This window comes from Homo sapiens, chromosome 15 (genome assembly GCF_000001405.40).
Source record: "Homo sapiens chromosome 15, GRCh38.p14 Primary Assembly".
In the NCBI taxonomy this organism is placed as follows: Eukaryota; Metazoa; Chordata; class Mammalia; order Primates; family Hominidae; genus Homo; species Homo sapiens.
The window spans coordinates 22,183,503-22,198,238 of record NC_000015.10 but is presented as its reverse complement, the minus strand read 5'-3'; the positions used below and the strand labels follow the sequence as shown (position 1 = coordinate 22,198,238).

The 14,736-nt window shown below is 40.5% G+C and overlaps 1 protein-coding gene and 1 pseudogene across 1 annotated transcript; both read left to right on the top strand.

Annotated features, from left to right (window-relative positions):
* On the top strand, nucleotides 3,061-3,354 carry IGHV1OR15-4 (immunoglobulin heavy variable 1/OR15-4 (pseudogene); annotated as a pseudogene).
* LOC107983983 (putative V-set and immunoglobulin domain-containing-like protein IGHV4OR15-8) lies at nucleotides 12,746-14,736 on the top strand. The gene is made up of 3 exons (XM_017022769.3): nucleotides 12,746-12,882; nucleotides 12,966-13,529; nucleotides 14,534-14,736. The coding sequence occupies exons 1-3, from the start codon at nucleotides 12,816-12,818 to the stop codon at nucleotides 14,734-14,736; spliced, it is 834 nt and encodes a 277-aa protein (XP_016878258.1). The 5' UTR covers nucleotides 12,746-12,815.

Sequence of the window (14,736 nt, the reverse complement as noted above, 5' to 3'; positions counted from 1 at the left end):
GCGGCTTACGCCTGTAATCCCAGCACTTTGGGAGGCCAAGGCAGGTGGATCACGAGGTCAGGAGATCGACACCTTCCTGGCTAACACGGTGAAACCCCATCTCTACTAAAAAATACAAAAAATTAGCCAGGCAGGGTGGCGGGCGCCTATAGTCCCAGCTACTTGGGAGGCTGAGGCAGGAGAATGGCGTGAACCCGGGAGGCAGAGCTTGCAGTGAGCCGAGATCGTGCCACTGCATTCCAGCCTGGGCGACAGAGCAAGATTCCATCTCAAAAAAAAAAAAAAACTATTCATGCACTTCCCAAGTCTCCACTTGTATTCTATTTGCCTTAGATCTCTAAGACAAAAAAGTGGGTGAAGGATATGAACAGACACTTCTCAAAAGAAGACATTTATGCAGCCAACAGACATGAAAAAATGCTCGTCATCACTGGCCATCAGAGAAATGCAAATCAAAACCACAATGAGATACCGTCTCACACCAGTTAGAATGGCGATCATTTAAAAGTCAGGAAACAACAGGTGCTGGAGGGGATGTGGAGAAATAGGAACACTTTTACACTGTTGGTGGGGCTGTAAACTAGGTCAACCATTGTGGAAGACTATGGCGATTCCTCAAGGATCTAGAACTAGAAATACCATTTGACCCAGCCATCCCATTACTGGGTATATACCCAAAGTGTTATAAATCATGCTGCTATAAAGACACATGCACACGTATGTTTATTGTGGCACTATTCACAATAGCAAAGACTTGGAACCAACCCAAATGTCCATCAATGATAGACTGGATTAAGAAAATGTGGCACATATACACCATGGAATACTATGCAGCCATACAAAAAGATGAGTTCATGTCCTTTGTAGGGACATGGATGAAGCTGAAAACCATCATTATCAGCAAACTATCGCAGGGACAAAAACCAAACACCGCATGTTCTCACTCATAGATGGGAATTGAACAATGAGAACACTTGGACACAGGAAGGGGAACATCACACACCGGGACCTGTCGTGGGGTGGGGGTAGTGGGGAGGGATAACATTAGAATATATACCTAATGTAAATGACGAGTTAATTGGTGCAGCACACCAACATGGCACATGTATACATATGTAACAAACCTGCACGTTGTGCACACGTACCCTAGAACTTAAGGTATAATAATAAAAAAAAATAAGCCTAGGCCTAGTGTCAGTGTAGGAGGCAATTTTTATAGGCTAGAAACTAAGAAGAAAGAAAAATATGTGTTATTGGAATAGTAGATACAAAGTTGGTTTTATTCTGAGTGTATTTGAACCTGCAGGTATTCTTAGATGTAACATTCAACTGCAAGAGCTCAAGGACGAAACAAGGCACTCCCAAAATCCTACAAGTTTTTGTATTCATTTCGTGTCCACTGACTCAGGAAATGTGAAGTTTCAGAGAAGGTGTTCCACTCTGTGTCACAGAATATTTGCTTTGGGTCTCCCTGTAGAGTTAAATAGGTTTAATAAGGCTCTTCAATTCTTAAAAGACATGGTGTCAGCAGTACATTGTGTCACTGAAGGAGTATTCAGTACATTGTGTTACTGAAGGAGTATTCTAAACCAGGACACACCCACTTCATGCTGAGCTAGAGACTGTGGGGTAAAATGCCTGTGAGCTACAACAGAAACCTCATGGCAAGGCAAGGGCTCGGCTGGAGGGGGCACTTGGGAGCCACCAAGCACAAGTTCCAGCCCCAGAGCAGGTGCACAGGAGGCCGGGGAGGAGGTTTTCTCTCAGGGCCTTGGTCTTCCTTTGTCAGGAAAAAAACAATCTAAAATAACTGTTCAAGAAGTAGCTGACGTGCTTTAAATATTCTAGTACATCCAAACCATTCATATAACTTAAGATAATGAGAGCTATTTTTTAAAGTGAGTTTCTAGGACTGTAATATCTTAATAGTGAGAATATGAAGGATGGGCATGTTTTTACTAATTCAATGGGTACCGATTAGTTGAAGAAACTATATTCCTATGAATAAGAAATTCAGATTTCAGTGTTAAGTAATGTTGCCTACATTGTGTGAATGACAGGGCAGTGATGGATCTGAGGGTGTGGCAGGTGCACAGACCAAGTGAGTCAAAAATCAATATGTAAAGATACAGATCTATGGATATGAACTGGAAGTATGTAAATACTTTACAAAAATCTAATAAATGGAGTTGAAAAGTAACCCAAAATTATTCAAAACACAAATTCATTGACAATTATTTTGAGAGTAGAGAGTTCATAAAGAACTTCAAACTCCTGTTACCTCTTCTGATTCCCATTGTTCCTGAGATGAGAAAATCAGCTGTAATTATGCATCACAGGGCAAATACGTAAAACAAGAGCGTTTCTATTGAAGATCCTGGGGGATCAGGACATGAGGCACGTGCTGGAGACACTGTCTCAGGAGGGCCCAGTAGATCTCAGAGGGACATCAGCAGTCACCTTTCCAGAGTCACCAGTGAGCTGTGCTGGTGCCTGACAGGTCCAGGATAGGGCCAAGGCACGTGCTCAGTGTCATAGACAGTGATGGTCCCAAAAATAATCCAGGCGGCCTCTATACTAATCACATGTAGGTTCACAGTGAGGAGCCTGTTCTGAGAGGGCTTATTCTTCAGTGAAAGGACCTCTGTACACAAATGTTGGTAAATAGAGCAGGGCATGCATTTTCTCAAGTAAGATTAGGGCTTAGACCATTTGCATCTCACTCTTGTAAGGCTGATGTGTCATTTATCTTCCCTTTCTTATCATGTATCAGGCTTTGAGCTATGAAATCGTCTGTCTCATGAATATGCAAATAACCTGAGATGCACTGAGGTAAATATGGATGTGTCTGTGCCCTAAGCACATCATCCAACAACCACATGCCTCTTCTGCAGAATCTCCTTAGAGCTCAGTGCCTCACCGTGGACTGGACCTGGAGGAACATCTTGGTGGCAGCAGCTACAGGTAAGGGACTCCCAAGTCCCAGTGATGAGAAGGGGATTGTGTCCATTTCTGAAAGATCTCATCCACTACTGTATCCTCCCCACAGGTGCGCACTCTCAGGACCAGTTGGTGCAGTCTGGGGCTGAGGTGAAGAAGCCTCTGTCCTCAGTGAAGGTCTCCTTCAAGGCTTCTGGATACACCTTCACCAACAACTTTATGCACTGGGTGTGACAGGCCCCTGGACAAGGACTTGAGTGGATGGGATGGATCAATGCTGGCAATGGTAACACAACATATGCACAGAAGTTCCAGGGCAGAGTCACCATAACCAGGGACACGTCCATGAGCACAGCCTACACGGAGCTGAGCAGCCTGAGATCTGAGGACATGGCCGTGTATTACTGTGCGAGAGACACAGAGTGAAAACCCACATCCTGAGAGTGTCAGAAACCCCAGGGAGGAGGCAGCTGTGCTGGCATGGAGGAGATGACAAAGATTATTAGATTGAAGACTTTCTCAGAAAATAACATTAAGTCACTAAAGAAAAGGAACAATATAAATGTGTATTTGAGAAATTTTAATTATTTGAAAGATTTTTCATACAACATTTATTCTGTAAGCAAATTTCAGGGATTGAATTAATAAAACTGATACAGAACTTCCTTTGTAGGTATCTTTGTAAACATCAATTTCTGAATCACTGTTGTAAATATTTTGGAACACACAAATGAATCAAATTTTAACTCTACTTTTATCTCTATTTTAAAAATGCCCCCCAAAACCTCATTTTGTGCATGTAGCATTTTGAATTCCCACCATCAATGCATGATGGTTCTTGATTTTCCACATTCATATTGCCATTTTTCATTATGAGAATTGTGTGTTTTAAACATCCTAATAGGTGAGTAATGGTATCTAATTTTTATTTACACGTACATGTCCCTAATAAAAAGTTCCTACTTAAAAATGTTCAAATAATCTTTGGTGAGGTACCTTGCCTGAGATCTAGTTCATTTTTAAATGCATTGTTTTCTTTTGATTAGTTGTAAGTTAACTTGCATATTAATTATAAAAGTGATTTAACAAACTAAAATAACTCATTTAACAAATACGTGACTTGGAAGTATTTTCTCCAAGTCTGTGGCTGTCTTTTACACCCTTAGCGTGTATTGCAGAAAAATATGTGTGCATGTTTATACCAATTTAGATTTTAAAAATGTAAAATTTTATTCATCCACAGATCATGTCTTTGGCATTATATCTGAAATCCCATTATAAAATACAATAATAGTGATTTTTTTTCCATGTCTCTAATCTCAGGCCACAATCAACTCATGAGTGTTTAAGCTTCACTCACTTGATTACAGGACTATCAAGCTAACATATTTGGAATACTTCTGCAAAGAGATGTGTTCTTCTTCCCATTATTTATTTATTTAATAATCTATTAATATCCATATTAGTTTACGGATGTCTATTTCATGCTCTGAAGATGATCCTTGCTACATCATTCATTTTATTGTTCATGTCACCACCGCTTTATTAGGTGCTAGGAGCTCATTTAGTTTGGATCCTGCATCCTTACAGCACACCTCATCCTTTTGTTTTTGAACACTTCCCTGTTTCCTGATATTACAATTAATTCTAAGTTCATTTTCTACATTATCTTTCTCATACATAGGATTAGCCGTTTTTCCTAAAGATTGATTATTTCCGATGTTAAAGAATAGTGTTAAAATTAAAAATTGTGATACTGGATATGTGTGTTGTTAAGGTGTTATAAGTACTTCTAGGACCTCTCAACCTATATGTCTAGTAAATGTACATGTTTATATGAACCCATGTTTATGGACTCATTGAAACTACTTATGTATCTAATTGTATGTAACTTTATTACATTAAAAATGAGAACGCACTGGTCTCTCCACCCAATTATGCTATTTTAGATAGTATTATAAACAATTTTAGAGCTGCTTGCTTTGCATAATGATCCACTACTATGGATAAACAGATAGAAGATAGATGCCTACATACATACATACATACGTACCTTGATAGAGATATAGTTGGACACATAAATACATAGATGGATAGATAGAGTTACAGATATATTTTAGTTTTTATGCTACTTTTTTCTTTGCCTTTACTTCCTATGTTATATTAGTCAGGTCTCTAGGACTTAGGACTGCATTTACAATTCCTTCCCTTGTCCATTTTGATGTGTTCTAGAAGATGTGAGAATCCTTTTGTGTCACTTCAAAGTCAGATCACTTCAAAGTCATGCACTACCCTTGCAATAAATGTGTTTGTGTATGTCTTTGCCTTATTGACAAGCTCTGCTGAGTGCAGTTATTTCTGCCATCTGAGCTAACTTTACACTTGGTAGAGAAATATATTCTAAATGGAGGTTTCCACTATTCATTTAAATTACTAATTCATAACCTCCAGCTTAATTATTGAGGTATAATCTATCAGAGATGATATTAGATCAAAGGTTTCCAATGAAATCTAATATAAGGGAAGTGAACAAATTTTCCTAATTTAGGTAAAATAACTCTGAGCCCATTCTTAGTATCCAGCCATGTCTCCTATCTATCACACTGAATCCCATACTAACTTTGACCTAACTTGGGACTTGGAAGCTTCAAATACGACGTTTTGATTGCAATGCCTCTAATTCAGGATGTGTGGTTATTTTAGCCAAGAGTAAAGAAAAGCAAATTTAACTCACTAAAAATGAGGAAGATTAAAACCTAATGAAATGGAAACTGGGATATGAGTGGCTCCAGACTTGGCTATTTTAAGAGTCTATGTGCCCAGGTGATTTCTTTTCTCAATTTTACACACAGGCACACCCAAAACATCAGCTTCATCTCCCATTGACTCTCATCATCTCTTTCTTAGAATGTTGACTTCCCGCTGCATCCATGTTGCCACAAAAGACATGATTTTATTCTTTTTCTATGAATGCATAGTGTTCCATGGTGTAAATGTACCATATTTTCTTGATCAAATTCACCATTAATGGACACATAGGTTGGATTTATGTCTTAAGTATTAAGAGTAACATAGCAATGAACATGTAAGTGGGTGTATTTTTTGGTAGACTGATTTATTTTCTTTTGTGTATATACCCACATATGAGATGGCTGGACCAAGTGGCAGCTCTGCTTCAAATACTTTTCAAATCTCCAGACTGCTTTCCACAGTGCTTGGACTAATTCACATTCCACCCAACACTGTACAAGTGTTTCCTGTTCTCCGCAGCCTCACTCCAGACTGCTTGCCACCGTGCTTGGACTAATACACATTCCACCCAACACTGTACAAGTGTCTCCTGTTCTCTGCAGCCTCACTCCAGACTGCTTTCCACAGTGCTTGGACTAATTCACATTCCACCCAACACTGTACAAGTGTTTCCTGTTCTCCGCAGCCTCTCTCCAGACTGCTTTCCACAGTGCTTGGACTAATTCACATTCCACCCAGCACTGTACAAGCGTTTCCTGTTCTCCGTAGCCTCACCAGCATCTGTTTTTTTTTTTTTTTAATTTTTAGTAATACTGATTTTGACTGGTGTGAGACAGCATCTCATTGTGGTTTTGATTGATTGGCATTTCTCTGATGATTAGTGACGTTAAACGTTTTTTCATATGTCCTGGCCACTTTATGTATTTTTGAGAAGTTTATGCTCATGTCATTTGCCTATTTTTAAAATGTGATTATTATTATTATTTTTGCTTGTTGATTTACATTTCTTATAGAATCTGGATATTGGACCTTCATCAGATGCATAGTTTGTGAATAGCCTCCCCCATTCTGTAGGATCTCTGCTTACTCTCTTGATAGTTTCTTGGCTCTGTAGAAGCTCCTTAGTTTTATAAGGTGCCACAGACAGAATTTTGATTTGTTGCAACTGCTCTTGGGGACTTTGCCAAAATTTTCTTGCCCAAAACAATTTTTAGATGAGTATTTCTTAGGTTGTATTCCAAGATTTTTATAGTTTGAGGTCTTATACTTAAATCTTTACTCCATTTTTTGTTGATTTTTGTTAATGGTGAAAGGTAGACATCTAGCTTCCATCTTCTGCATATGGCTAGCCAGTTATCCCAGCACGATTTATTGAATAGTGATACATTTCCTCATTGCATGTTTTTAGTGTCTTGGTTTAAGATCTGATGGTTGTAGGTGTGCAGCTTTATTTCAGAATTCTCTATTCCCTTTCACTCGTCTATGTGTCTCTTTTTGTATAAGTACCAAGCTATTTTGGTTCCTGTGGCTTTGTAGCATAATTTGATGTCTTCTAGTGGGATACCTTTGAATGTATTCTTGTTACTTAAGATTGCTTTTGTTTTTAAAACTCTTTTTTTGATTCCATATAAATTTTAAAAGTTTTTTTTCTAATGCTTTAAAAATAATGTTGGTAGTTTTATAGTAATAGCATTGAATCTGGTAATTTATTTGGGCACCATAAAAGTTGATAGTCATAAATGACTTCATCAAGGAGTTAGAAAGTTCTCAAATTAGTAATCTTAACCTTGCACCTAAAGGAACTAAAATAATCTCAAAGCTAGCACAGAAAAGGAAAATTAGAGAAGAACTGAATGAAATTCAGATACAAAAATGCATACAAAATATCAATAAGCCCAAGAGTTTCTTCTTTGTAAAATAAAGATTGACTGATAGTCACCTGTCTGGATTTAGAAAGATAAAGAAAAAGAAGATCCAAATAAGTACAATCAAAAGTGACAAAGGGGATATTACAACTGATCCCAGAAGAATGCACAAATTCTCAGACTACTATAAACTTTATGCACACGTGTTAGAGAATCTGGAGGAAATGAGTAAATTTTGGGAAGCACAAAATCTCCCAATATTGAATCAGGGAGAGATTGAAACCCTAAATACAGTGAAACCAACTTCTAAAATTGAGTCAATAATAAAGACCCAACCAAGAAAAAGAAACCTGGACAAGAAGAATTCACAGCTGAATTCTACCCGACATACAAAAAAGAACTGATGCCAATTCTACTGAAGCTACACAAAGAAAATCAAGGCATAGAGGCTCCTTCTCAACTAAATCTGTGAAGCCAGCATCAGCCTTATACCAAAATATGGCAGAGACACAATAAGAGATGAAAGCTCAAGACAAATACTTCTCATGATCATAGGCTTAAAAATTCTCAATGTAGGAAATCAAATCCAGTAGTTTATCAAAAAGTTAACACACTGCAATCAAGTAGGCTTCATTCTGCAGATGCAAGGCTGCTTTAACCTATGCAAAGCAATAAATGTGATGCTCTACTAAACAGAATCAAAAGCAAAAACCATGTGAGTATCCCAGCAGATGCAGGAAAAAAAGCTTTCAATAAAATCTAACAATGCTTCATGATAAAAACCCTCAAAATTATAGACATTGAAGGAGCACACCTCAATCTGATGAGCCGTCTATGACAAACCCACAGCCAACATCATACTGAATGGGCAAACACTGGAAGCATTTTCCTTAAGAACAGAAACAAGACAAGGATGCCCGCTCTCACCACTTCTATTCAGCCTAGTACTGGAAGTATTCACCAGATCAGGCAAGAGAAAGAAATAAAAGGCATCCAAATAAAAGAAAAAGAAGAATGCAAACCCTCTGTTTTCACTGATAATATGATTCTATATGTAGAAAATATTGAAGGCTCTGCCAAAAGTCTCCTAGTATTGATACATTAGTTTAGGAATGTTTCAGGATATAAAATCAATGTACAAAAATCACAGTAACATTTCTAGTCACCAACAACGTTCTGGCTGAGAGTGGAATCAAGAACTTGCTCTCCCAATAGCCACCAAGACAGTGGAATACCTAGGAATAGAGCTAAGCCAATGAGATGAAATATTTCTACTAGAAAAACAGCAAAACACAGGTGAAAAAAATCAGAGATAAAACAAATAGATGGAAAAATAAACATTCCATGCTTATGAATTTAAACAATAAATATAAGAAAATGTTTTAAAATTTGTGATTAATTCTATGTAGCAATGCCATTTTTTTCAACATTTGCAGAATATTGTTGCTGGTAATAGCGGTTCAGCATTTGATAATGGAAATACCTTACAGAATCACTTTATAACAATTGCTTCCTGTAGTGGCTGTGCTTCAGTTACCTGATGAAAACATCGGCATGTCACAGGTTGAAAACATAAAACATGTTTATCAACTGAGAAGGCTGTAGGCTTTTGTCAAGTAATTACTTCAAGTCATTCAGAGAAACAGTAGACAGTAAATGAAACTTGTTCAAATTCCATGGAGAGTCAAAGCTGAAGAAAATCCTACTAAAAGTGTCCAAAGGCCCCCAAGGCTCAGTTCCTCGGCAAGTCCCACCTTCACAGGTTTTCCAGAATTTTGTTTTTAACTGATTTACACTAAGTGAAGTAGATTACCAGGAGTTTTCCATTATTTTAACTTAAAATCGGGGGCTAAGTGTTGTTATTTTGTAAAGACATCTTTGAATCTCTCAGGAAATTTACCTCCTGAGGGTTCAGCTAAGATCCCACTCTAGGTTAAGATTACATGTTTGGCACAACGAACTGGTACAAATCTTACTTTAGCTTTCATGTTATCTATTTTTCTGCACTGACTTCCACCTTTTTATTAGTCAAGTATATGGGGTGGAAGAGTGCTTCTAAGAGGTCCTTAACTTCCCCATTTCAATGGATTTTCAAGAAGACATGAGAAACCACTTTGTTTGCAAAGCATCCCAAAGCCATGTCCTGCTCCAGAAACGTGATCTCATTTCCTGGTCGTTTCTTAACTGACACACTGTAATCAGTGCATCTGGGCGAATTTCAAATGAGGTGAAGAAATGTGTCCTAAAGTAAAGCTAACATTGTAATAGGAATTCCTGTTTTAAAACATTTAGTTTTATTATTGGGAGGATCTATCAACATATAACAGTTGAAGTTTCTCAACAGGAGTTTAATAAATATAAGGAATGTACAGAAGTGTTTCCTAATTAAAATAAAACATAGTGATTACCTAGGCTGTGAATGCAATCTTGGTAATCTGCTATGTCCATGCCCATCACTCTGTGCCTCGCAAACTGATTTTGACCTTAGCAGAAATGAGGTTAATTTTCAAATTAGTAATTTTTTTCCAGTTTATTTAGATGATTATGAATATTTTAGCAGAAAGAGAATCAAGGAAACTTGAACTAAATAACCAGAATTTAAAATGACAAACAATTCAACAAGACACCAGGATGTGAGTGGCTCCAGGCCCAATTAATTCAAAACTTTATCTGCCCAGGTTCTGTATTTTCCCAAAATTACACTTCTCCATTCCACCTTCATACCACAGTCGACTCCCACCCTGTAAGACATGGTGACAGCATTCCCAAAGGTCATGTGCAATTCTGAAAATGGAATAAGCAAGGTGAGGAGATGACAGTTTATATTCTCCTCTGAGGAGGAAGAATTGCCTCAACAGACCACTTCTCCTGCATCTGTGACTAGAACTATGTCACAGGCACACATGGAGCAAAATCCCTCAAGGGCATAATATGGTAACATTAATCAGGGTGATCATTTTTAATACTATAAAATTCATAGATGACACTGCATTCCAGCCTGAGAGACAGAGCAAGACCCTGTCTCTAAGAAAAAAAGAACAAATTAATAGATACTGATACCAACATTTTAGATAATGAAATTTTCATAACCTAATTTTAAATACACTCACATCATTACATAAATCTTCCCAGAAATATTCCTAGTCATGTTGAGTTTCATCAGCTTTTCCAGTGTTCAAATCTAGAAATCCAATAGAGTCTTGAGGATAAATCAAAATGAGGGCAGTGAAACTGGTATCTATTCAGCATCTGTTAACTCAGGAGGACTCAATACACCCTTGCACACTGCTGCTTCTCCGAATGGCTCACAAGGATTCCAGCTCACTCTCTAGCCTCCTCAAACATCTGGCCCCCACTTGCCCTAAGTTCACTGTCTGCTCTTAGTCTGTGCTCTGAAGTTTTCGCAGAGGTGAAAGTGAGCTGTCAGATGGAACTTCCCTCTCACCTCAGCGTGGAATTTACTACTACATTTAACTATCACTCTTTCCATAATGGTTGATTTCTCTTGGTCTGTTCATTACAGATCAAAGGCATCTGATTTGAATCTTTATTTCTTTGCATTTGTCTCCATGACAATTTTGGGAGGTTTTACCGCCAGCTCTATAACATGATGTAGTAACATGACACATTTGTGCTTAACAACACCTACAAATTCAGAAGCCCTTCGGTTCTCTTCCCGGCAAATATAGTTGCTTCCTTTCTGTGTATGAGCACATCGTGGAAACCCGTACACACCCACATAGATATATACATGCCTATGACATTTTCTTCTCTGTAAGTGAAAATTAATCTCAATTTCATACGAAGTTCATCATTTCCCTGAAGGTGAAGGTAGGTCGTTTTGGTCTGTTCAAACAAAAGGCCCAGACACCAGCTGGTAAGTGAGGAGCTACCCTGCTTCTAGATGTTGGATCTGTCTCTTCCCCTTTGCTTTACCACAGAAGATTGGCCACTTGTCCAGGTCCCAAGAAGAGAGTCCAGGTTTGTCCTGATAATATGACTCACCCAACTTCTGATAACTCTACTGCTACACACATTCATGGAGGTAGCCTATTAATTACATAATTGACTAAACAAACACCAAATACCCACATTGCAATACCCCATACCCAAGGGTATGTTCATGCAATTCAATGAAGGAAAAGGCTTTTCAGAGACAGATAGATCAGGCTAGATTGGTCAATATATGGGTGAAAACACTGGATTTGAATGTATTTGTTTTCCCCCATGTCGCATGTGAGACCTGTCAGTCAGGACCAGGGTTCCTTGTGCACTCAGAGGTGAGGGCTCACAGAGTTCCTCTCTGGTTTCCAGGAAAGGTAACTGCAGTAATCTTGGTGATGAGAATATCCTCCAGTGCTGGCCTATTATAGAGTTTACATATGAAATTGTCACTGCAATTCACAATCTACTCTTTCACACAGAAGTGTACAGAGGTCAGGCCACATCCTCAGGGTCACACATTGAGAATGATGAAGATATGTCCCACGAGTCTCTCCTAAGGTCTCAGAAAGAATTCCAGGACTCAAAAGGTCTCAGAGGGCAGCTCCCAGTGCCTTAGTTAAAATGGTGGCTCAGGCCTGTAATCCCAGCACTTTGGGAGGCCAAGGTGGGTGGATCACCTGATGTCGGGACGTTGAGACTAGCTTGGCCAACATGGTGAAACCTTATCTCTACTAAAAATATAAAAATTAGATGGGAGTGGTTGTGCGTGTCTGTACTCCCAGCTACTTGGGAGACTGAGGCAGGAGAATCACTTGAACCCAGGAGGTGGAGGTTGCGGTAAGCTGAGATCGGGCCACTGCACTCTAGCCTGCGCAAAGGAGCAAAAGTTCATCTAAAAAATTTATTTTAATTTAAACACTTTTAAAAAGTGGCCCACTCCCTAGAACAGAGAGATTCCCTCTAAACATGATGGATGTCCTGAACTATAAATTACATTAAGTGAATCCTGGTGTGTCTGAACTCACATGATTATTACATTAAGCTGCTGTTCCAATCTACTTCCTCACCTGGGAAAAGAGGAGCCAGGACATGGCTAGTTGAGGCCCCAGGAAGAGAACTGAGTTCTCAAAGGGCAAAGCAAGCATCCTCATCCCAGGGTGAGCCTAAAAGACTGGGGCCTCCCTCATCCCTTTTCACCTCTTTATACAAAGGCACTACCTACATGCAAATCCTCGCTTAGGCACCCACAGGAAACCACCACACATTTCCTTAAATTCAGGGTCCAGCTCACATGGGAAATACTTTCTGAGACTCATGGACCTCCTGCACAAGAACATGAAACACCTGTGGTTCTTTCTCCTCCTGGTGGCAGCTCCCAGATGTGAGTATCTCAGGGATCCAGACATGAAGATAGGGGAGGCTGCCTCTGATCCCAGGGCTCACTGTGGGTCTCTCTGTTCACAGGGGTCCTGTCCCAGGTGCAGCTGCAGGAGTCGGGCCCAGGACTGGTGAAGCCTTCGGAGACCCTGTCCCTCACCTGCGTTGTCTCTGGTGGCTCCATCAGCAGTAGTAACTGGTGGAGCTGGGTCCGCCAGCCCCCAGGGAAGGGGCTGGAGTGGATTGGGGAAATCTATCATAGTGGGAGCCCCAACTACAACCCGTCCCTCAAGAGTCGAGTCACCATATCAGTAGACAAGTCCAAGAACCAGTTCTCCCTGAAGCTGAGCTCTGTGACCGCCGCGGACAGGGCCGTGTATTACTGTGCGAGAGACACAGTGAGGGGAGGTGAGTGTGAGCCCAGACACAAACCTCCCTGCCAGGAGGCGGAGGGCGCGGACGCAGGTGCTGCTCAGGACCAGCAGGGGGCGCGGGGCCCACAGAGCATGAGGCCGGGTCAGGAGCAGGGGCAGGGAGGGCGGGGCTTCCTCATCTGCTCAGTGGTCTCCCTCCTCGCCAGCACCTCAGCTGTCCCCAGGGCTCCTCTTTCTTTATTGTTTGTGGTTCTGCTTCCTCACATCCTCACTGCAGGCAAGAAAGAAGGGAGAAATTTCTCTGTTTACCATTAAGGTTTTAACAGTCACTGGCACCTTTTTTTCAACAAATTCCCACAAGGCCCATTTTACCTTCTTGACAAATAAAATATTTCAAGGCTTCTCACTATCCCTTGATTGACGTCATTGGCTGCATCGTGTCCTTCTCTTAAATTCATATGCTGAAACCCCAATCCCAGTGGCTCTGTATTTGGAGTGAGGGATTTTAAGAGGGCAAATAAGTTAACTGTGGCCATAAATGTGGGACCCTAATCCAGTAGGACTCTTGTCCTTATGGGAAGTGGAAGACATCAGAGACCTCTCTCTCCACATGCACACAGAGGAGAGGCCATGTGGGGATGCACTGCATGAGAAGGTGGCCCTTTGCAAGCCTGGAAGAGGCCTCTCAAAAAACAAAATACTATCCCTTTCTGCACCCAGATCTTGGACATCAAGACTCCAGAACAATAAGAAAATTAATATTTGTTATTTGAAACAACCTAGTCTGTGGTATCTTCTGATGGAAAGCCAAGCGGATTCACAGATACAATTGTGTTAGCTCTGTCTCCTGGAGGGAGAAACAGCCCACTGAGGCTGGACACATCTCTCAGATTATTTTTATAAAGAAAAATAGATCCAAGATGAAAACCCCACCACATTTCTGCTGAGTCATTCACTTAGCAGGCGTCTCTGAGATCAGCCCTGGGGGCTGTGTTCTAGGTCATGTCTCTCACTTTCCACCATGAGAATCCATGTAGATAATGAGAACCAGCCAGATGGAGTCCTGATCCCGGCCCACCTTCTGCTGCCCCAAGTATCCCAAAGAAAACCACTCCAGCATCACCCCTGTGTCTTCTACTCTCTAAAATCCCACTAAAGCTGACCCTAAACCAGGAGCTATTTGGGGCTGGACTCTTGTTCTCTTCTTCTTAGTCTTCCATAAGGTCCAGGTGCCGAGTAAAGCCTTAGTAAAGATTGAGCTTCAGTTCCCCTAATCCGCAGCATTCCCTTACATCCTTGTCATGCATCTGTCCTCTGTGGGCGCCCAGGGCAGGTTACACAGGAATTGCCTGAAGCTGGCCTCAGCTGATGTGCTGAGACCACGGGTCATGCACACGTATGATTCCAGGTCATGCGGGCTCTACTGCAGGACAGACCTGTGTCCTGTGGGGCACAGCCACCTGCTGATCCCGGGCCTCCTCTAA